Here is a 23,143-nt window from a genome sequence, read left to right as displayed (position 1 = left end):
TGAAATTGTCCTGGAGGGGACCAATGACAAGTTTGACATTCGACCCAATATACTAATCCAAAATTTCTTTAAGCTAGTTTACATTAATTGAGAATTCAGACTGAGTAAAAATAGGAGGATTAAAACTGTTGTGAATTGAAGAAATTTGTCAGCATGTTTTTTTTTTTTTTTTTGGCTTGTATGCTTGTTTTTAGGTCCGGGTTCCAACAGTGTTGAAAAGGCATTCTTCAACTATAATGGAATTTCTCAACTAGAACTGAAATGAAAAGTAGGAACAAGTATCACCTTCTATTTGAATAGCGTGGTGGCTCTCATATATTCAGCTCCTCAATCAGCACTCACCAACCACCCATTCTGTGTAATGTGTAATGTTATATCAGTTCCTCACATTGTCTCTAATAACAGAAATATTTACACTCAAAATGAATTGCATTAGGAACCTCTCTCAGAAAAAGTATTTTCCAAAATCCTTACTAGATTGGAAAGAAAAATCTGTAAAGCACTTTACTTAATGTGGCTAAGACTGACATTATAAATATATATTATAATAAGATTGCAAATTATAATAATTCTAATATCAAGCCTGATCATCTGGAGACCATTCTAAAAGCATATAATACACAAAACTCAAAACTTTTACAGAACTCATTCAGTAAGATTACCATGGCAGGAAATACTAGTGCTCACCAAATAGCCCTGTATTTCTCTAAATTTTGTGTCTGCCTTGCAGTTCAGTTGGGGCTAGGTGATTAGTTCCAGACAATAAAATGTGAATGGAAGTGACATCTCATTCTGTTTAGGAAGTTGAGACCGGTGTGCCTTCTTTTTTTTTTTTCGAGACAGGGTCTCCCTCTGTCACCCAGGCTGGAGGGCAGTGGCACCATCACGGTTCACTGTAGCCTCAACCTCCAGAGCTCATGTGATCCTCTGTTTCAGCCTCTCAAGTAGCTGGGACTACAAGCACATGCCACCACGCCTGGTTAAATTTTTGTATTTTTTTTTTTTTGGTAGAAATGGGGTTTCGTCACATTGCCCAGGCTGGTCTCAAACTCTTGGCCTCAAGTGATCCTCTTGCCTCAGCTTCCCAAAACGCTGGGCTTACAGGAGTGAGCCACCGCACCCAGCCCGATGTGCCTTCTTTTTCTTTCTCTTGGAGGCTACATGATTCACCATGGAGGTCATGGGTTCTGAGATGGAAGAGAGCTACCTTATTCATATGAAACTTTGTGTGATTGTGAAATAAAGCTTTATTGTGTAAATCCACTAAGCATTTGGGATGTATTTGTTACTATAGCATAGTCTGTCCTATCGCAACTCACACAAACAATAAGATCCCAGAATATGCTCTAACTTTTTGGTCTTGTATATTGGGAGGATCCTTATTAACAAAGAAGCCTCCCAATAAAACAAGTAAGAAATACAGCCATTTAAGTTACATACTAGGATGTAAGATGACCATTTTCCTCACTTGCAATGCCAAGTGAATATAAAAATATACATTTGCAGTCTCTTGTTAGGAAGGAAGATTTACCTGCTGGTCCAGGGGGGCCTCTTGGACCTTGGGTTCCAACGCCTGGATTTCCTTTTTCTCCTTTGATACCAGTTAGACCTGTTTAAAATAATTTTTAAAAATGTTTAAAGTTCTTTTTAAAAGAAAATCTTGGTAGTTCCATTTTTCTGGAGTTCGAAAGTGCTTCTCTGATGAAGACAATTAAGTGGGTTCGTTTGGGGTTATGAGTACCATGGGACTTTTAAATTACATTCTGACATTGGTAGTATATGTAGAATCACATGTTGAAGTCTGGTTCTGTATTTGAGTGTGTGGTCTGTATTTGCTATTCTGCCAGTCTCTCTTTCTCCTTCCTACTGAAGTCACACAGCCTGCCAAGAACTGGTCCTTGTCTTTGCACGCACCAGGCCACTGGACTTATGCAGCTGGCACTCCACAAGTAACACAATAGAAATCACAAGTGAACACGTCTAACATTTTCCTTTTGGTCCACTCTGTAATGTGTCTGCAAAAGGCATGAATTGTAATTAGGCAGCAACATTCTGAAGAGCGTGAGTTTCCATTAAAACTTGGAAGCTTCAGAAAAGCCTGTGTTTGATTTGGCTGATTCAGCCCCATAAAAATCTAAATCTATTCATGTTTCTTTTCCATGGAGCAGACCTCTTATAATTTACAGTGCTATTAACAAACTATACATTTTCACAGGCAAACAACAAAGAAACATATACTCTGACACCTCATTATCTAAACAGGTCCTATCACAAGATCACTTGAAAGGTGAGAGCGCCTATATTGAGGCCCAAGATACGGTTGCATTAGACTGGGGTCTGGGTTACCCTGGCTTACATCATAGAAGATCTTTGCTGTCTGTTTTTTTGTGTACAACAATGCTTTGAAATAGCAGCATGCAGAACAGCATCTCTGTTTAATTATACCTACTGAGAAATTATGTTGAATTGGCAAAGCCTAGAAGGAAACATCAATAAGTGAAAAATGGCCAATTTGACAGGTAGCAGGCATGGAAAGGCCTTGCAATTTTTTAAAATTGCAAATAACTATTTGTTTACTTTAAATATAATGCATATTCACTGTCAACAAATTAGATGTAACAAGCAAGATGCTAGCACTTGAAAATAATCACTTTTAACATCTTAGTTTATAACTTCCAGAAAGAAAAGTGTTGATGTAGTATTTGTTCTGGAAATCACTGGTAAAGAAGACTCCGGTGAGGAACTAACAGGTTTTGGTTTTTTGTTTTTACACTGCACATATAATGGTTGTTCCTAACCTGCAGCTTTGGTATCTTTTGTGCTCCCCGTAATGATCTCTTGCAGTCAAGACATAGCCTGGCATCTCTTTTAAAAAGCTCTTCTTCTTTACTAGGAGTCATCCAGGTTGGTCTACTCATTGCTAGAATTCCCAAACACCCAATCCTATTGCATGTCACCTTGATGGTGCTATCTGAGCTTACAAAAGACCAGTATCTCCATGACAGCCCAGGGCACAAACCACCATGCCTGTGACTTTCTGTTCAGTGCCTGGTTCTTCTCTTAGGAGCCCATAAGGAAAACAATGATTTCTCAAAAGTAAAAATACCATCTCATCTGAGTTTTAAAAGCACACAGCTAACTCTGACTCACCAATATTTAATGCTCAATTGCTAATCAAGTTGTTCAGACAGAAAACCGTGCTGTGGAAGCCTACTGGGCATTAGTTTAGTAGCTAATCGGAGTTTGTAGTTTTTAGCTGAGAGGCACTACTTCACTTGTCAGTGCTTATGCCCCAATGTGCATCCGGGAATTTAGCCGAGAATCCATCCTCTTCTGTTTGAACTGGAGTCACTTTGCCAACAGGGAACAACTAATTTTGAAAGAACTAGAACATAATAAAATATACTGATGACTAACACCAGGCTGTTCCTGATTAAGAGCGTGGTGACTCAGTGGCCTCTCACGACCTCACGGTGCAGGATCATCTTTAACAGGATGGCTCCTAATGCTTAATTCTCCACAAGAAGACATGGATCAGGCAGAAGAGGATATCTGGGAAAGTATTCTTGGGACTAATCCCCTAATAATAGTTTCCTGACTTGTTTTTTGCTTATTCATAAAGAAAGCACGAGGTGGAGAAGATTGGGAATAGAAAATCTGGTTGTTTTAATTTTCTCATTATACAGAGAAAAATAAATGGAATCAGATATTATCTGTAACATATGTCGAGGTAAGAAGAGAGAACTAGCCTCACAAAAAATATTAAAAAAAAATTCCAGCCCTTGAAATGCCTTAGAAAACAAAAAGGAAAATGCCTAAAGACACAATTATATATTAACAAGGAATTTTAGCTTTTATTCTTTTTTTCTTTCTTTTCTTTTCTTTTTTTTTTTAAGACAGAGTCTCACTCACTCTGTCATCTAGGCTGGAGTGTAGTGGCATAATCTCAGCTCACTGCAACCTCCGCCTCCTGGGTTCAGGCGATTCTCCTGCCTCAGCCTCCTGAGTGTCTGTGATTACAGGTGTGTGACACGACGCTTGGCTAATTTTTATATTTTTAGTAGAGACAACGTTTCACCATTTTGGCCAGGCTGGTCTCGAACTCCTGACCTCAAATGATCCGCCCACCTTAACCTTCCAAAGTGCTGGGATTACAGATGTGAGCCACCATGCCTGGCTGATTTTATTATTCTTCAAGTTATTATATTACAAACTACATTTAGGTGAATACATTAATATTTGTCCACATATCCACTTGTGGTTCGCATACTGAAGGAATGTTCATGTCCATGACAACTGAACTTGGTTGTAGGCCATTTTCTGGAGTGAAGCAACCTTGTTAAAAATCAGTATTTAAGTACCTTAGATGAGGATTGAGATCAAAGGCTAAGCGTAGAGACTTCAGATCTCTAAAAATAGATCTGGATATATTTTTGATAAGCCTGGTAGGACCTAATTAAAAGGAGGGAAATCAAGTGTCCTAAAACATCAGCCTGTGACTATCCATGAGATGCCTGAGGGCAGTGGAGCCTGGGTATAAAGTCATTTTTTTATAGACAAAACCCAGTCATGGCCCATCGTAGATCTCTTTTGCACAGAACCAAGGTGGGGCCACCTGGTGCTGAGATGGGGTCACCAGTGCTAAGTGCCACTGTCCTTTCCACAAAAACACCGAGACTCAGGAGACTCATGGGACTCCCAAATGCTAATTTCCTTCTTTTGAAATGCCCTTTAACTTGTCTGTCTCCATAACTTGTCCTCATTCTTTAAGACCCAACTCAGAATTTCTCTATAACCATAGCAGGTAGAACCATGACAGACTCAAGAGGGCAAGGCATATTTATCTTATTCCACGGCTATATCCCCAATGTATAAATATCATGTCTTCCACATAATATATAACACAAATACTTGTTGAGTGAACTAACAAATGAAAGAACAAATGAGTGAATGAATTCTTTGCTTTCTTAGTAACTGCGATCCTTTGGTACTGCGCATTCCACTGCATTACCTATTCTCATGCCCACATGGCCCCAAAACTATAGGCCTCTTGACTGCTGGAGCTGTGCCTTACTTATCTCTCTAGCATCAGTCCATGGCCACTCTTAGGTGGCCCAATAAATACTGGAAGACTAAATGAATTCAATGCCTAGACTAATATTCAACAGTCCATTATTATTATTTTTTAATTTATTTTACTTTTAAGTTCTGGGCTACATGGGCAGAACGTGCAGGTTTGCTACACAGGTAAATGTGTGCCATGGTGGTTTGCTGCACCTATCAACACATCACCTAGGTTTTAAGCCCCACACACATTAGCTATTTGTCCTGATGCTCTTCCTCCCCTTGCCCCTCCTCCCAACAGGTCCCAGTATGTGTTGTTCCCCTCCCTGTGTCCCTGTGTTCTCATTGCTCCCACTTATGAGTGAGAATATGTGGTGTTTGGTTTTCTGTTCCTGTGTTAGATTGCTGAGGATGATGGCTTCTAGCTTCATCCATGTCTCTGCAAAGTACATGATCTCATTCCTTTTTATGGTTGCATAGTGTTCCATGGTGTATATGTACCACATTTGCTTTAGTCTATCATTGATGGCCATTTGGGTTGGTTCCATGTCTTTGCTGTTGTGAATAGTTCAGCTGCCCATTATAAGCAAGCATACCTTTGAAAAATCAACAGACAAAATTCCTTAGGCTGAAGCTTCATTTTTATACTCCTTGGTTAGGTGAACACTGCTTTTTCTAACAAGTTCCTTGTGTGGTGGTGATATCAACTACTAGTGCCTTTTAGAGATGAATATAATTGGCTCCAATGAAGTTTGAGGTACTGCAATTTTTAAAATGAGCACAGCTCATATAAATTAGATCTAACTTAGCAAAAATATGATTTAGCCAAGGTTAAAATACCCTTAGTTTTCTGTAGAGTAACCAAAATAATATTTAGGATCATCAGAAAGAAGTCCCCTCCCTCCATCTCCTCCTACTCCTTCTCTCTCTCTTTTTCTAATGACTATCTTTTAGAGCAGTTTTGGGTTCACAGTAAAACTGAGTAAAAGATACAGAGATTTCTCATATACACCCTGCTCCCACAGATGCATAGCCTTGCTCATTGTACAACATCCTCCATCAGAGTGGTACATTTGTCATATTCATTCATTCTTCAGAGTCTCATTAGAAACCACTTCAGGTTGCCTGATTCTCCCTCACCACTAACCTAACACTGACTCGTCAATATTTTTGTTTTCTGGCCCACAAAATCAGGGACTTGCTTGTTTTAGATCTTCATTCTATTCCAAGTGCCAGTCACACATTAAGCACTCAAGAAATATCTGTTAAAGCAATGGATGAATGAATGGAATACAAAATTTGATTGCAGACTTTGACAAACCAAAAATGTGCCTGAGAGTGTATCAGCACTGCCTATAAATTATCTCACTAGGTTTCGGATGCCAGCTGCTTCACATGAACAAACTCATGTTGTTTTCACATGAGCCAAGAGGGCAGGCACTGCTATTAACCCTGAAAGAGAGCTGAATCCTGAGAGGGTAACTCACTTGTCCTTAGCTAGGAAACAACAGAGCCAAAATCTCAACCCAGGCAGATTGGCACAGAAGCCTCTGTGCTCAACCACTGCACTCCCTGCCTCTCCATCCTAAGCTGGACCCGAAGGCTCTTTCTTGTCTTGCTTGCTATAGTTATGGCTTCCCAAACCTCCTGCCAAATGTGTCTGCACACTCTCTCTGGCCTCACACTCAGCAGTCAGCCCTGTGTTTATCACCACATTTCCTCAGATGCTTTCCTCAATTTGTATACTTGCTGTGTGCCCTGAGCAAGATTTGGAATTCATTTTAAGAGGATTTATCCTGCTCACACTAACATGTCCAGGGGCTGGCCCTTGGTTGTCTGTTTCCTATTTTCTTTGGCCTGTTGGCCTCTGAGTTGGGAGATTTTATTCATTTTTATGGCCCCCCCGACCACACCACGCACTCCAGCCTGGAGTCTCTGCTGTTTGTGGAGCACAGTCACTCCTTCCTCATCCCCAGACATTCTGAGGAACTCCCAGGATTTATGCCCACGAAGCTATGCAAGGCCTGGGGAAAGCTTCCATTGTAATTGTACCAAAAAGTCACAGAGATTATAGATCAAGGCTTTCTGTGTTATTATATTGCCTGTTGCCTGGGATATACTGGTGATGGATTGCAAGTACAGTCTGTTCTTCACTCAATGTTTGTGTGAATGCCTACTAAGAGCAAGGTACTGGACCTAGCACCTAGTTACAAGAAGGCAGATTAATTGGAGTTAATTCAATAAGTACTGTATGCATTTTGTTAAGCTCTGCTATTTCTGCATGTCTGGTCTGTAGGACTAGTACCAGTTTCTGGGGCTCCATGCTTTATGCTAAGATGGACAGGAATGGAAAACACGTAGTTGTTTTATATGTAAATGAGCCTTGCAAATGATTGCCAAAGGTCCCTCTTCCTATTGTCTTTTTCATATAACAACTGGCCATCTACTGTGCCTTTATAATTCAGAGCTCAGCCAGGGAAATACAAACCACTCTAGATCTTTCAGAGAGAGGAAATTTGGAATTTAATACAGACACTTGGTAACATGGATGATGGAAAAGCTTAGAAACCAAGCAAAGATGTAACTTACAAATTGGCAAGAACATGGAGCCACTATTACCTGTAGGAGAGTAGAGACAATGAGAAAAAAAAAATGTGACTGGAGCCCAGAGCCTAGTGGCTTCTGGTAGGATCTAGAAACAGAAGGGGAGATTGTCTACTAGAAGCAGGGGTGCAGAGGGGTGGTGGCTACAACTGGAGTTGCAGAGGAGGCAGGGGTGGGGTTTGCCCTTCTTTGTACCCTCCAATCTTCCTCAATGCTTTCCATTGGGCTGACCTTGCCAAAGAGCAGAGGGCAAAGGGGTCTGGACACCTAGCACCACGAAGCTAAAGCCTGGAGAAGGCGAACAACATAAACTGCCTAGCCCAGTCCCAACATCAGCCACTGGGAATCCGGAGTCAAAAGCACCCCTCCTGCATGTAGCAGGTCGTCATGGAGTAGGAAACACAGATAGGTAACAAGTAGTTATAATGCAATGTGAAAACAGCTACAGCAGAATATGAGAGCACAGAACTGAGGCACCTGTGGGGACTGCAGAAGGCTTTCCAATATGGCTGAGCCCAAAATGACGTCTTGAAGAACAGGCATTATCTGCTAAAGAAGTGACAGATGGGCACGGTGGCAGACGAACATGCATGCGCAAAGGCTTGCAGGTGAGAGACAACAGAGCATGCCTGGGGGGCCAGAAATGGTTTGGTATGGCTTTGGCAGTTTCAGGTTGTTTCACAGGCAATAGAATATAAGGCTAGTCTAGGCCAGGGCATGACAAGCTTTGTGTGCCAGACTATGGAGAGATACTAACTTGTAAAGGCCACCTTCAGTACCTCCTACTTAATTTTATGTTCGGACTTCATATTCTTTTTCTTCAAGAGGAACCCCAAGTCGTAAGCTTCAGGTTCCACAAAACCTGTATCTGCTCCTTCTGGGTGCTACAAGGCAATACATTGGTTAAGGCAGCCTGGAGTCCTGTAGAGCCTAGCTCCACTGGTAAACCCTGTGCTATTTCCACAGAAAAGCCAGAGGAAAACAGGTTGAATCATTAAGTGGGGCCACTCAATGGTCAAAGGAATCCACTAACCAGAGCAAGATCAAGGCAAAGGAGTTAGCACTTCAGGTCTTTCTATTAGTCTCTATCAGTCAAGACAGTATAGGTAGAGGGTCCTTTGGTATTTTGACCACAGACTCACCTAAATTTGGGCAGCGAGAGGGAGGAAGTGCAGTAGGAAGGAAAGAGGAGAAGTAGGAAGAGTGGAAGTTAAAAAGAGAAGGGCGGAGAGAGAGAGAGAGAAGATGAGGTGCAAAGCTCATCAGTGCACACCAGCCTACTGTAGTCTGCAGGTTGACCATTCACAACTGCAGGTGAGTGGCAGGAGAAAATAGGCATTAAATCAGGCATCAGGAATCCGGGCTTTTTGTTCACCCAGTTTTGCCGCTGACACTATGACCTCACTGGTACATAAGAATGTTAGATCAAATGCCAATCTATTACTTTCTGCTACAAAATTTTGATCATTCCTCCTTAAGAGCTATTATATTATTTCCACTATTGGCTATTAAGAAAATTATAAATTATTCAAAATTAGTGGGAAAAGGAGCCAATTTCTATGGCTTAAAAATGAACATTTCAGGTTTAGCATGAATAGTCAACCAGTTGATAATATTTAAATTGGAGCTTGGTCTTCATTCCTTGCAGAACTGGAAAATGATATGATGCTCTCCACTGTTGGAAAAGTGAGCTGTGTCCAGGCATTGGGATAAGGTCAGGGTCTACAGAATTTAAAATAAAATGTGTTATGACCAACAGCACTTCATGCTCAGCATGAAAGACCCATTACTATATTCTCACTCATAAGTGGGAGTTGAATAATGAGAACACATGGAAACACGGAGGGGAACATCACACACCGGGGGCTGTCAGGGGGTTGGGGGAAAGGGGACGGAGAGCATTAGGACAAATATCTAATGCATGCGGGGATTAAAACCTAGATGACGGGTCGATAGGTGCAGCAAACCACCATGGCACATGTATACCTGTGTAACAAACCTGCACGTTCAGCACATGTATCCCAAAAGTTAACATAAAAAAAAAAACGATAAACACATCCAAAATCAAGGATACTCATTATGTTTTTCCAAACTAGCAAAGAAGTTCAGGAAAGTCAAACTACTTCACTATATTTACATAGTAATTTAATGCCAAAGTCAAATCTAGAACAATGAAAATGGAAAGGATTAATGAATATATCTTTTCTCTGCATGTTTTCACCTTCCTCTAAAAATATATTTTGATAATTAACTTATTACAGTCATGGCTTTGAAAGCCATGTCAAAAAATTCACCAAAAATGTTTTATCACAGCTAATACAAACAACTTTAGTTTTATCATATAAACTACATTATATTTCCATTTTACTTATGTTCAAGGCTTGAAAATTTAGAAAATGATGAAATACATTCCTACATTTTTAAAAAAGGAGTTTCTTTCTCTCTCTCTCTTTTATTATCTAGTATAACCAAATCTCCTTCTTAGAAAACTTGCCATGATTTTCTGGCTAAATTACACGATGACGACTTGAAAGGAAATGCTTACATTGTTCACGTGGCAGTAATCTGCTGTCACCATGATGTCTCAGGATTGAGGCACAATATCCACATGGGCTTTTGTTTTTATCAGGGCTCAAGGTGTGAATGAGAAATGGCAGTCAAAAAGCTAGCCAAGAGGTTATCAACACTATAAACTAGTTATGACTTATGAAATAACTATTGTATTTCATGTATTATGAGGAATAAAAGAAAAATGTACATTAAAATTTGTTTTGGGGGACAATGTAGCCTCATTGTAAGAAAGGATGAACAGAGAGAAATCAATAAGGGCCAATTCAAGAAAGCATACTCTATCTGGGTATTGAATGACATGTGTCACACACTAATGCGGTGGGATTAATCAGCCATTGATTTATCAAATATCTGTTCAAACTGACTAATAGACTTTTCAATTAAGGTTTTAAAATTTTTTTATCTACAGAAACAATGATATTAGCTTCCATGGCAAAAACAAGACAAAACACTAGTTATAGCTTATTATTACTGTAACAGTCATATTTTACTAATTATAAAGGGTGGGAACATAATTTAATGGTAATTTTAATTTGTCAATGGCTTTTTTTCTCTCGTTCTTTGTGTTTGGTTTGAAAATGGATTTTGTTCTAATTATGACTAATTTCAGAAACAGGAACACAAAAGGTATTAGTAGTCTTCAAAAACATTTTTCCCAATAATTGCTACTGTTTTTAAAGGTGCCCACAGCTGCATCTTGCGTTTCCCTCTGAAAACCTACATCTGACATTTGGATGATTTAAAAGAATACAGGAGAGAAAAACAAACATAAGTGGTGAAAACAGGCAGGGTAAGCCAACTCTTCACAAGAGCCCTTCATTATTCAGCACTGTAGACGTCATACTGCTTGGCAATCATTTCGTGGATGAGAGCATCACCCTCTTCGCAATGCACAGCCAGAAGGACTTGTTTTAATTTAGAAGAGTGTGATGGTTTAAACAGACACTGACAAAATCTTTAAAATGCCTCCCTCCAAAGTGTACAGCCGAATTCCTCTCTACTTGAGTGTGGGCCAGGCTTAGTGACTCCCTTCTAACAAATAGAATATGGTGAAAGTAAAAGCTTGGGCTTCTGAGACTAGATGTCAAAATCATAATGGGAACTCCTCTGCTCTCTCTCTTGGATCAGTGGCTCTGAGGAAAGCAGCCTCTATGCGTTGAAAATGAATTCTCAACCATGCCCCACGAAGAGCTCCACAGTGAGGAACTGAGCCCTCCTGCCAATCATCAGCCAGGGCTGGAGACTCCTGCCAACAGTCCTGTGATGGCACCATCTTGGAAACAGATGCACCAGCTCCAGTCGAGCCTTCAGATGACTGGCCTCCTAAATGACATATTGACTGCAACTTTATGCAAGACTCTTAGCCAACAGGACCCACGTAAAACTCAAATCCCTGACCCACAAAAATGGACATCATATATATTTGTTGCTTTAAGCCACTAAGTTTTAAAGTAATTTGTTACACAGCAATAGCTCACTAATACATAAGAGTTTCTTTCTGCAGCCATGATCACTGTAAAGAGTCGCTTTGTAATAAAAAAAATCAATAAAAGATGATGCAAAGAAGAAAAAGAAGAGCAATCCTTGTCAATGCCTTAAAATGACTACACCATTAGGAAAACACAATCCACTAGACCTTCAGATAAAGGTCTTGTTCTGAAGGGCATTCAAATTGAACTTAACCAGATGAGTCCTGGGTGGAAAAAAGAAAGAGAAAACTATCTGTATTCATCTTTCAAGAAATGAGAGGCAGGGGATGGTGAATCAAAGAAGGAAGAAGGCAACATGTATTTCAGCAGATTTTTTTTTTTTTGAGAAAGAGTCTTGCTCTGTTCACCTGGCTGGAGTGCTCTGTACTCCTGGCTGGAGTACAGGATATGTTATCCTGTACTTTTTCATAGCACTAATTACAACTGAAATTAAATGATTGATATGTTGTTTGCTTAATATCCATCTCCCATAACAGTAAGGTGCCATGAAAGTCAGGAAATATATACCCTGTTTACCACCATGTCATCAATGCCCAGCACAAGCTGGAAGTGTAGTAGATGCTCAGTAAGTACCACTGAATGAATGAATGGAGTTTCAGAGATTAAGTTTTAAGCTTAAGTAGTCAAGATCACATAGCTAGTTAAGTGGCGAAGCCAGCAAGCACAGGCATTCTGGAATCATACATATCTGGATCTGAATTCTAGACCCCTATTGTTCCACTGTGTGACCTTGGACAATTAACAATCTAGCAGAGCCTCAGTTTCCTCACCTAACATGGAACTAATCCTGATCTCATAAGATTTTTATGAGCATCACATAACATGCTTAGCAATTGACACATAGTTGCTTAATAAATGCTGGCACCCGTTCTTCTCAAAGACCACAGTGACTGACATCTTCCTTTACATTCTGAAACCATTTATATTCTATATAACTCACTTAGCATTTACCATCTTCCAGTTTGTACCCTCAGCAATCTTTCATATTCCTTCCTTATCCAAACCAGGTCTTCCACTTTACCCAAATGAGGTAGTGTGTACAGGACTGAGCGCAACACTTGGCAGATGCAATTGGAGCCTAATAAGTAAAAGCTATAAATAATAGTATTATCTATCTGCCAAACTGAAAAACCTTACATAAACACTGCATTTAATATTTGCTGACTTATTCTATAAGATAAACCAGATATAAATTCCAGCTGTCCAGCTATACAATCTAAAATGAAAATCTTTAGATGGTTAGGTTAGTTAGATGATCAGATGGTTTCTCTGATTCAAAAATTTCGGGAGGATTATGGAAACTAAAGGAGTTGCATAAAGACTGAAATCAGGCTGGGTGCGGTGGATCATGCCTGTAATCCCAGCACTTTGTGAGGCCGAGGCGGGGTGGGGGGGTTGTCAGTTGAGGTTAGGAGTTCGAGACTAGCCTGGCCTACATGGTGAAACCCCGTCTCTACTAAAAATACAAAAATTAACCAGGTGTGGTGGTGCCTGCCTGTAGTCCCAGCTACTTGGGAAGCTGAGGCAGGAGAATTGCTTGAACCCGGGGGGCGGAGGTTGCAGTGAGCCAAGATCCGAGATCACACCACTGCAATCCAGTCTGGGGGACAAAGCAAGACCCTGTCTCCAAGAGAAAAAAAAAAAAAGACTGAAATTAGGGGAATTTTCTAATTCTTTTCAACTGAATAAAGAAACTTAATTTTGTGAACTATAAACCAACAAACTTATTGTTGACTTGTTTAATATATGGCTCAAGATACCAGTGTAGAGAATGAACATTTAAATAAATTGAGTAAACAAAAACAGATGAATCATCTGGGAATGATATGCACAGAGCAGAAAAAGAAAACGATCTGTAATTGAGGAAATCTGGTTTGGAATCACCCAAAAATGTGACTCAAGAGTGAGTTGACGTCAGAAAAGCAATTGACAAATAGTAGTCAATCACTGGATTGTCCAGTCAAGCACTGGATTGTCACGGTTCAGTGATCAAAAGAGGAACCTCAGAACTGGTCCTCTCTTCTGAATTTTAGGATAATGAGAAGCCAGGTTATACAGAACCATTTACATGAAGACAGTACAGGGTTTAATGGGGAGAGGTAACCAACTAGCATCCCATGGAAAAATAGCTTTTCTTTGACATAAATTAACAGAGAAGAACAAGTGACAAGGAAAAGCAGGTGAGAAATCGGGCTGCTTAATATAAAGCATGATGTTATGCAAATGAGGCCTCTTCAATGCTAAGTGCCAATAATTAGAAAAATCTAAGTGGGATTTCAAGCTTCAGATAGAAAACTTGAACAACATTAGCCACTGGATCCCTTAGAATCCTTAAATTTTAAGAATTCTCTATTACAATCTGTGTAAGAGGATAGCTAAAAACTGTTCCACACAAACTTACGAAAAAGACTTTAAGTTAAAGGAGACAAAGGGTTACTGAAGAGAGAGACAATCAGATGGAGCAAAAGTGCAATCTTCTTTTAGATAATAAGAAAAGTCATGAAAAGCCATGTACATCACATTGCGAACATGAAAGGAAAATCCATAATTTTTCTTCTGCTCTCTAAAAATGCATATTCTTTGCCATTTCTCTGACAAAGATGGGGTTAATCAAAGACATTGTATGGGGATAGTGTTTTTCTTTTTTTTTTTTTTTTTAATTATACTTTAAGTTTTAGGGTACATGTGCACATTGTGCAGGTTAGTTACATATGTATACATGTGCCATGCTGGTGCGCTGCACCCACTAACTCGTCATCTAGCATTAGGTATATCTCCCAATGCTATCCCTCCCCCCTCCCCCCACCCCACAACAGTCCCCAGAGTGTGATATTCCCCTTCCTGTGTCCATGTGATCTCATTGTTCAATTCCCACCTATGAGTGAGAATATGCGGTGTTTGGTTTTTTGTTCTTGTGATAGTTTACTGAGAATGATGATTTCCAATTTCATCCATGTCCCTACAAAGGACATGAACTCATCATTTTTTATGGCTGCATAGTATTCCATGGTGTATATGTGCCACATTTTCTTAATCCAGTCTATCATTGTTGGACATTTGGGTTGGTTCCAAGTCTTTGCTATTGTGAATAATGCCGCAATAAACATACATGTGCATGTGTCTTTATAGCAGCATGATTTATAGTCCTTTGGGTATATACCCAGTAATGGGATGGCTGGGTCAAATGGTATCTCCAGTTCTAGATTCCTGAGGAATCGCCACACCGAATTCCACAATGGTTGAACTAGTTTACAGTTCCACCAACAGTGTAAAAGTGTTCCTATTTCTCCACATCCTCTCCAGCACCTGTTGTTTCCTGACTTTTTAATGATTACCATTCTAACTGGTGTGAGATGGTATCTCATTGTGGTTTTGATTTGCATTTCTCTGATGGCCAGTGATGATGAGCATTTTTTCATGTGTTTTTTGGCTGCATAAATGTCTTCTTTTGAGAGGTGTCTGTTCATGTCCTTCGCCCACTTTTTGATGGGGTGGTTTGTTTTTTTCTTGTAAATTTGTTTGAGTTCATTGTAGATTCTGGATATTAGCCCTTTGTCAGATGAGTAGGTTGCGAAAATTTTCTCCCATTTTGTAGGTTGCCTGTTCACTCTGATGGTAGTTTCTTTTGCTGTGCAGAAGCTCTTTAGTTTAATTAGATCCCATTTGTCAATTTTGGCTTTTGTTGCCATTGCTTTTGGTGTTTTGGACATGAAGTCCTTGCCCATGCCTATGTCCTGAATGGTAATGCCTAGGTTTTCTTCTAGGGTTTTTATGGTTTTAGGTCTAACGTTTAAGTCTTTAATCCATCTTGAATTGATTTTTGTATAAGGTGTAAGGAAGGGATCCAGTTTCAGCTTTCTACATATGGCTAGCCAGTTTTCCCAGCACCATTTATTAAATAGGGAATCCTTTCCCCATTGCTTGTTTTTCTCAGGTTTGTCAAAGATCAGATAGTTGTAGGTATGCGGCGTTATTTCTGAGGGCTCTGTTCTGTTCCATTGATCTATAGCTCTGTTTTGGTACCAGTACCATGCTGTTTTGGTTACTGTAGCCTTGTAGTATAGTTTGAAGTCAGGTAGTGTGATGCCTCCAGCTTTGTTCTTTTGGCTTAGGATTGACTTGGCGATGCGGGCTCTTTTTTGGTTCCATATGAACTTTAAAGTAGTTTTTTCCAATTCTGTGAAGAAAGTCATTGGTAGCTTGATGGGGATGGCATTGAATCTGTAAATTACCTTGGGCAGTATGGCCATTTTCACGATATTGATTCTTCCTACCCATGAGCATGGAATGTTCTTCCATTTGTTTGTATCCTCTTTTATTTCCTTGAGCAGTGGTTTGTAGTTCTCCTTGAAGAGGTCCTTCACATCCCTTGTAAGTTGGATTCCTAGGTATTTTATTCTCTTTGAAGCAATTGTGAATGGGAGTTCACTCATGATTTGGCTCTCTGTTTGTCTGTTGTTGGTGTATAAGAATGCTTGTGATTTTTGTACATTGATTTTGTATCCTGAGACTTTGCTGAAGTTGCTTATCAGCTTAAGGAGATTTTGGGCTGAGACAATGGGGTTTTCTAGATATACAATCATGTCGTCTGCAAACAGGGACAATTTGACTTCCTCTTTTCCTAATTGAATACCCTTTATTTCCTTCTCCTGCCTCATTGCCCTGGCCAGAACTTCCAACACTATGTTGAATAGGAGTGGTGAGAGAGGGCATCCCTGTCTTGTGCCAGTTTTCAAAGGGAATGCTTCCAGTTTTTGCCCATTCAGTATGATGTTGGCTGTGGGTTTGTCATAGATAGCTCTTATTATTTTGAAATATGTCCCATCAATACCTAATTTATTGAGAGTTTTTAGCATGAAGGGTTGTTGAATTTTGTCAAAGGCTTTTTCTGCATCTATTGAGATAATCATGTGGTTTTTGTCTTTGGCTCTGTTTATATGCTGGATTACATTTATTGATTTGCGTATATTGAACCAGCCTTGCATCCCAGGGATGAAGCCCACTTGATCATGGTGGATAAGCTTTTTGATGTGCTGCCGGATTCGTTTTGCCAGTATTTTATTGAGGATTTTTGCATCAATGTTCATCAAGGATATTGGTCTAAAATTCTCTTTTTTGGTTGTGTCTCTGCCCGGCTTTGGTATCAGAATGATGCCGGCCTCATAAAATGAGTTAGGGAGGATTCCCTCTTTTTCTATTGATTGGAATAGTTTCAGAAGGAATGGTACCAGTTCCTCCTTGTACCTCTGGTAGAATTCGGCTGTGAATCCATCTGGTCCTGGACTCTTTTTGGTTGGTAAACTATTGATTATTGCCACAATTTCAGCTCCTGTTATTGGTCTATTCAGAGATTCAACTTCTTCCTGGTTTAGTCTTGGGAGAGTGTATGTGTCGAGGAATTTATCCATTTCTTCTAGATTTTCTAGTTTATTTGCATAGAGGTGTTGGTAGTATTCTCTGATGGTAGTTTGTATTTCTGTGGGATCGGTGGTGATATCCCCTTTATCATTTTTTATTGTGTCTATTTGATTCTTCTCTCTTTTTTTCTTTATTAGTCTTGCTAGCGGTCTATCAATTTTGTTGATCCTTTCAAAAAACCAGCTCCTGGATTCATTGATTTTTTGAAGGGTTTTTTGTGTCTCTATTTCCTTCAGTTCTGCTCTGATTTTAGTTATGTCTTGCCTTCTGCTAGCTTTTGAATGTGTTTGCTCTTGCTTTTCTAGTTCTTTTAATTGTGATGTTAGGGTGTCAATTTTGGATCTTTCCTGCTTTCTCTTGTGGGCATTTAGTGCTATAAATTTCCCTCTACACACTGCTTTGAATGCATCCCAGAGATTCTGGTATGTTGTGTCTTTGTTCTTGTTGGTTTCAAAGAACATCTTTATTTCTGCCTTCATTTCGTTATGTACCCAGTAGTCATTCAGGAGCAGGTTGTTCAGTTTCCATGTAGTTGAGTGGCTTTGAGTGAGATTCTTAATCCTGAGTTCTAGTTTGATTGCACTGTGGTCTGAGAGATAGTTTGTTGTAATTTCTGTTCTTTTACATTTGCTGAGGAGAGTTTTACTTCCAACTATGTGGTCAATTTTGGAATAGGTGTGGTGTGGTGCTGAAAAAAATGTATATTCTGTTGATTTGGGGTGGAGAGTTCTGTAGATGTCTATTAGGTCCGCTTGGTGCAGAGCTGAGTTCAATTCCTGGGTATCCTTGTGAACTTTCTGTCTCGTTGATCTGTCTAATGTTGACAGTGGGGTGTTAAAGTCTCCCATTATTAATGTGTGGGAGTCTAAGTCTCTTTGTAGGTCACTCAGGACTTGCTTTATGAATCTGGGTGCTCCTGTATTGGGTGCATATATATTTAGGATAGTTAGCTCTTCTTGTTGAATTGATCCCTTTACCATTATGTAATGGCCTTCTTTGTCTCTTTTGATCTTTGATGGTTTAAAGTCTGTTTTATCAGAGACTAGGATTGCAACCCCTGCCTTTTTTTGTTTTCCATTGGCTTGGTAGATCTTCCTCCATCCTTTTATTTTGAGCCTATGTATGTCTCTGCACGTGAGATGGGTTTCCTGAATACAGCACACTGATGGGTCTTGACTCTTTATCCAATTTGCCAGTCTGTGTCTTTTAATTGGAGCATTTAGTCCATTTACATTTAAAGTTAATATTGTTATGTGTGAACTTGATCCTGTCATTATGATGTTAGCTGGTGATTTTGCTCGTTAGTTGATGCAGTTTCTTCCTAGTCTTGATGGTCTTTACATTTTGGCATGATTTTGCAGCGGCTGGTACCGGTTGTTCCTTTCCATGTTTATTGCTTCCTTCAGGAGCTCTTTTAGGGCAGGCATGGTGGTGACAAAATCTCTCAGCATTTGCTTGTCTGTAAAGTATTTTCTTTCTCCTTCACTTAGGAAGCTTAGTTTGGCTGGATATGAAATTCTGGGTTGAAAATTCTTTTCTTTAAGAATGTTGAATATTGGCCCCCACTCTCTTCTGGCTTGTAGGGTTTCTGCCGAGAGATCCGCTGTTAGTCTGATGGGCTTCCCTTTGAGTGTAACCCGACCTTTCTCTCTGGCTGCCCTTAACATTTTTTCCTTCATTTCAACTTTGGTGAATCTGACAATTATGTGTCTTGGAGTTGCTCTTCTCGAGGAGTATCTTTGTAGCGTTCTCTGTATTTCCTGAATCTGAACATTGGCCTGCCTTGCTAGATTGGGGAAGTTCTCCTGGATAATATCCTGCAGAGTGTTTTCCAACTTGGTTCCATTCTCCCCATCACTTTCAGGTAAACCAATCAGATGTAGATTTGGTCTTTTCACATAGTCCCATATTTCTTGGAGGCTTTGCTCATTTCTTTTTATTCTTTTTTCTCTAAACTTCCCTTCTCGCTTCATTTCATTCATTTCATCTTCCATTGCTGATACCCTTTCTTCCAGTTGATCGCATCGGCTCCCGAGGCTTCTGCATTCTTCACGTAGTTCTCGAGCCTTGGTTTTCAGCTCCATCAGCTCCTTTAAGCACTTCTCTGTATTGGTTATTCTAGTTATACATTTTTCTAAATTTTTTTCAAAGTTTTCAACTTCTTTGCCTTTGGTTTGAATGTCCTCCCGTAGCTCAGAGTAATTTGATCGTCTGAAGCCTTCTTCTCTCAGCTCGTCAAAGTCATTCTCCACCCAGCTTTGTTCTGTTGCTGGTGAGGAGCTGCGTTCCCTTGGAGGAGGAGAGGCACTCTGATTTTCAGAGCTTCCAGTTTTTCTGTTCTGTTTTTTCCCCATCTTTGTGGTTTTATCTACTTTTGGTCTTTGATGATGGTGATGTACAGATGGGTTTTTGGTGTGGATGTCCTTTCTGTTTGTTAGTTTTCCTTCTAACAGACAGGACCCTCAGCTGCAGGTCTGTTGGAATACCCTGCCATGTGAGGTTTCAGTGTGCCCCTGCTGGGGGGTGCCTCCCAGTTAGCCTGCTCGGGGTCAGGGGTCAGGGACCCACTTGAGGAGGCAGTCTGCCGGTTCTCAGATCTCCAGCTGCGTGCTGGGAGAACCACTGCTCCCTTCAAAGCTGTCAGACAGGGACATTAGGGTATAGTGTTTTTCAAACTAAGGTAATGAAACCCAAGGTCTCTCCTCGTTCTTTTAACAAAAGAAGAAAACAGGGAATAACAGGAAGGGTAAAAATAATTTCTTTTGTCCCAGTTATATACATTTGCATGCATGCATATGCATAAGCAATATTGCATCATGATGTCAAATGTATTTTTTACTGTGTATCACATTTTTAAAAGTTTGAAAAACTAGAATAGAAAAGTTAGAGTGGGCACTTCTGATGAAAAACTATCCAAACTGAATGGAGTTGTGAATTTAAAAAAACAAAATTTTTTTCCATAGGTTATTGGGGAACAGGTGGTGTTTGGTTACATAAGTTCATTAGTGGGGATTTGTGAGATTTTTGTGCACCCATCACCTGAGCAGTATACACTATACCCTATTTGTAGACTTTTATCCCTCACCCACTTCCCACCCTTTCCCCCTGAGTCCCCAAAGTCCATTGTATCATTCTTATGCCTTTGCATCCTCATAGCTTAGCTCCTACTTATGAGTGAGAATATATGGTGTTTGGTTTTCCATTCCTGAGTCAATTCACTTAGAATGCTCGTCTCCAATCTCATCTGGGTTACTGTGAATGCCATTAATTCATTCCTTTTTATGGCTGAGTAGTATTCAATCATATACATATATATATATATATATGCTTTATATATGCTTCATATATATACATATATATATGCTTTATATATGCTTCATATATATACATATATATATGCTTTATATATGCTTCATATATATACATATATATATGCTTTATATATGCTTCATATATATATATACACCACAGTTTCTTTATCCACTCATTGATTGATGGGCATTTGGGTTGGTTCCACGTTTTTGCACTTGCGAATTGTGCTGCTATAAACATGCATATGCAAATATCTTTTTTGTATAATGACTTCTTTTCCTCTGGGTAGATACCCAGTAGTGAATTTTTTTAGGAAGACTCCTATGAGGCTCATAGGAAGCCTAAGCAGAAAGTGAGCCTCATTTCAGTGTTCATGCCAGAATGCTCAACAGCCATATTTCTCATAATCTTGCTTTTGTAGTTCATTATGTGCTACATACACTGCCTGGTAATAGTACTTATTTTTACTCATTACAATATTGTGTCCTTATAACATTATTTTATCCAGAATGATGATAATCATATTTTATACAGCAGAAAAAAACAACACAGTCTCTGGCTCTTATTTCAAGTCTTGATGTTGGCTGACTTTGAGCCTTTTTGGCCTTACTTCAATATCTTCATATGCTTCCTTTTATAGAAAATGAGAAGAGAAAAGATAGCTGAAGACTTCAGTTTTTAAATTTTATTGTTTTGACTTAGTGGAAAGACAGGCCTTTCCTCTCTTTATCTTTCCTGGATATTTGGATCCCAAACATCACTGCCTACCTTGCAGCAGCAAATCCAAGCTGCAGCTGAAATAACTTTGCCGGGAATGAGGAGCCCCTTGGATGCTGGCCTATAAGCCCTGACCTATAACAGTCATCGCAAAATCACACCCTTCAAGTGGTCATCAACTAAAATCACCTTTCCCCATGCTCAAAGGGCATTTCTCACTTTCTGTCTTACTGTCATCTTTTATGCATTTGTGAAATATAGGATTCTGCTTGTCTACTGTACTCTTTAGAATATATATCAATATGTATGTAAGAAAATTACATCATGGAAATTCATATTTCCAAAGGTCGTCTGGGCTGCCCTTTGAGAATCCTTGGGTGATTTTTCTGTGGTCTAATCATTCAAGTGTACTTGCAGAGCAGGAGAGACTCGGTCTGGCAAGAACGGGGCTAAGACTTCCAAAAAGAACAAAGACAACTTATGACTTGCTGGGAATGACTCAGGTGCTGGCTCTGTGCTCACTGAGTCACAGTTTCTCCATTATTGACAGCAGCAGAGGATGCCCTGCTGACAGAGGGGGCCACATTCCAGGCTGCCAGATCTTTGGTGTGTTGTGAGGGAATGATGCCATTTTCTATATCTGCTGATTTTGTGCCCTGACACAGGGAAAAACTTTCAGAAAGAAAAATCAGAACTGGGTCACAATTAAAGCAACAACTATCTAGTAAGTACCTATTAAGTGCAAAGCATTGTGCAAAGCAATTCAGAACCAATCCCTGCTCTCAACAACCTGGCTGTTCGCTAATGCCTGATGAGTGCTAAAACAGAAAGAAAAGACAGTAAGGGCATCAGGTGTTCATGGGGGCGGAGACATTTGGGTTCTGGGGTGATCAATAACAATTTCATGCATAAGACAGCTGAGCCTTGAACTAAGAGTAAGATGTATGGAAGACAAAGGAAGGAAAGGACATTTCCAAAGAGGGAAAACAATGTGTACAAAAGTGCAGAGGCAGAAATACACAAGGCCTGTTAGCATGAGTCAAAATAAATATGAAATAGTTTTTGTAATCTGTATTTTAAATCAAATTTTATAAAAGGAATATATCCTACCCATCCCACAAAACTAATATGCCTCACAGAGCAGATAGGTAAAAGTTAGCTTTTCCCCAGGTCTATGTTCTACAAAATGTATCTTAGAAAATACTCTGATGAGTTGTCTCTCTTTCCCATCACTTTCTTCACGGTTAACATGCAACCCTGACTTCCCACATCTCCTTTACCTGCTTCTGGAATGGAATATCTTAGTCGACTATAGATTCAGTCAAAAGAGTCTTATTATTGTATTACACCATACTTCTAAGACCTGTAGATGTGGAAGAAAAGGCTAAGTAGAATCTCTGTTTTAAGGAAACTTTAGTGGGAAAGGCAAAACATTGGCCCATGAAACTATTAAATAAAATGTTGTCTGATATAATAGGAAGATGAGCCGCAGACAGTATTTTAATTTGAAGTTTAGAGCTGACATGGTCTATACAGGAACATGTGAACCATATGCTGATACAATTCATGACTCTTCTCAGGACTGCCACTGACTATTGCCCAGTCTGGGCACCACACAAATAAAGCACCAGCAAATCACCAGAGTGAGTTCTCTGCTTGCCTTGACATTGGTGTGATGCCATGTTTGGTCAGAGGGCGGCATCATTTTCCAATTCTTCAACCTGGAAGGGGCACCCTTTTTGACTTCATCCATCTAGAGGGGTTATCTTTCTTTCATTAGCTCAAATACTCTCAGAAGTGATTTGGGGGTTCTAACCTTCCTCTTTCATATAAGTAGATATGGCTCTAGATAACCACTTGGCAGATTGCTCAATTTTCTCAATCTCAGAGATAAATAAACAAGAAACTGAAGAATAGATGGGGCAGAATTAATTTAAGTCCATTGTTTCAGACTTTATCCTTGTATA

The 23,143-nt window shown here is 39.7% G+C and overlaps 1 protein-coding gene across 11 annotated transcripts in view; it reads right to left on the bottom strand.

The window, feature by feature from the left end:
• Window positions 1-23,143, bottom strand: part of COL14A1 (collagen type XIV alpha 1 chain) — a 249,120-nt gene that overhangs the window by 4,794 nt on the left and 221,183 nt on the right. For all 11 annotated transcript variants that reach the window (NM_001413490.1, NM_001413491.1, NM_001413493.1 and 8 more), the window contains one exon: window positions 1,532-1,609. In NM_001413490.1, the coding sequence (NP_001400419.1) occupies window positions 1,532-1,609 (78 nt within the window). The remainder of the gene's footprint in view (window positions 1-1,531; window positions 1,610-23,143) is intronic.

Source organism: Homo sapiens, chromosome 8 (assembly GCF_000001405.40).
Source record: "Homo sapiens chromosome 8, GRCh38.p14 Primary Assembly".
Classification (NCBI taxonomy): domain Eukaryota; kingdom Metazoa; phylum Chordata; class Mammalia; order Primates; family Hominidae; genus Homo; species Homo sapiens.
Note: the sequence above shows the minus strand (reverse complement) of the source record. Positions and strands in the feature narration are given on the sequence as shown.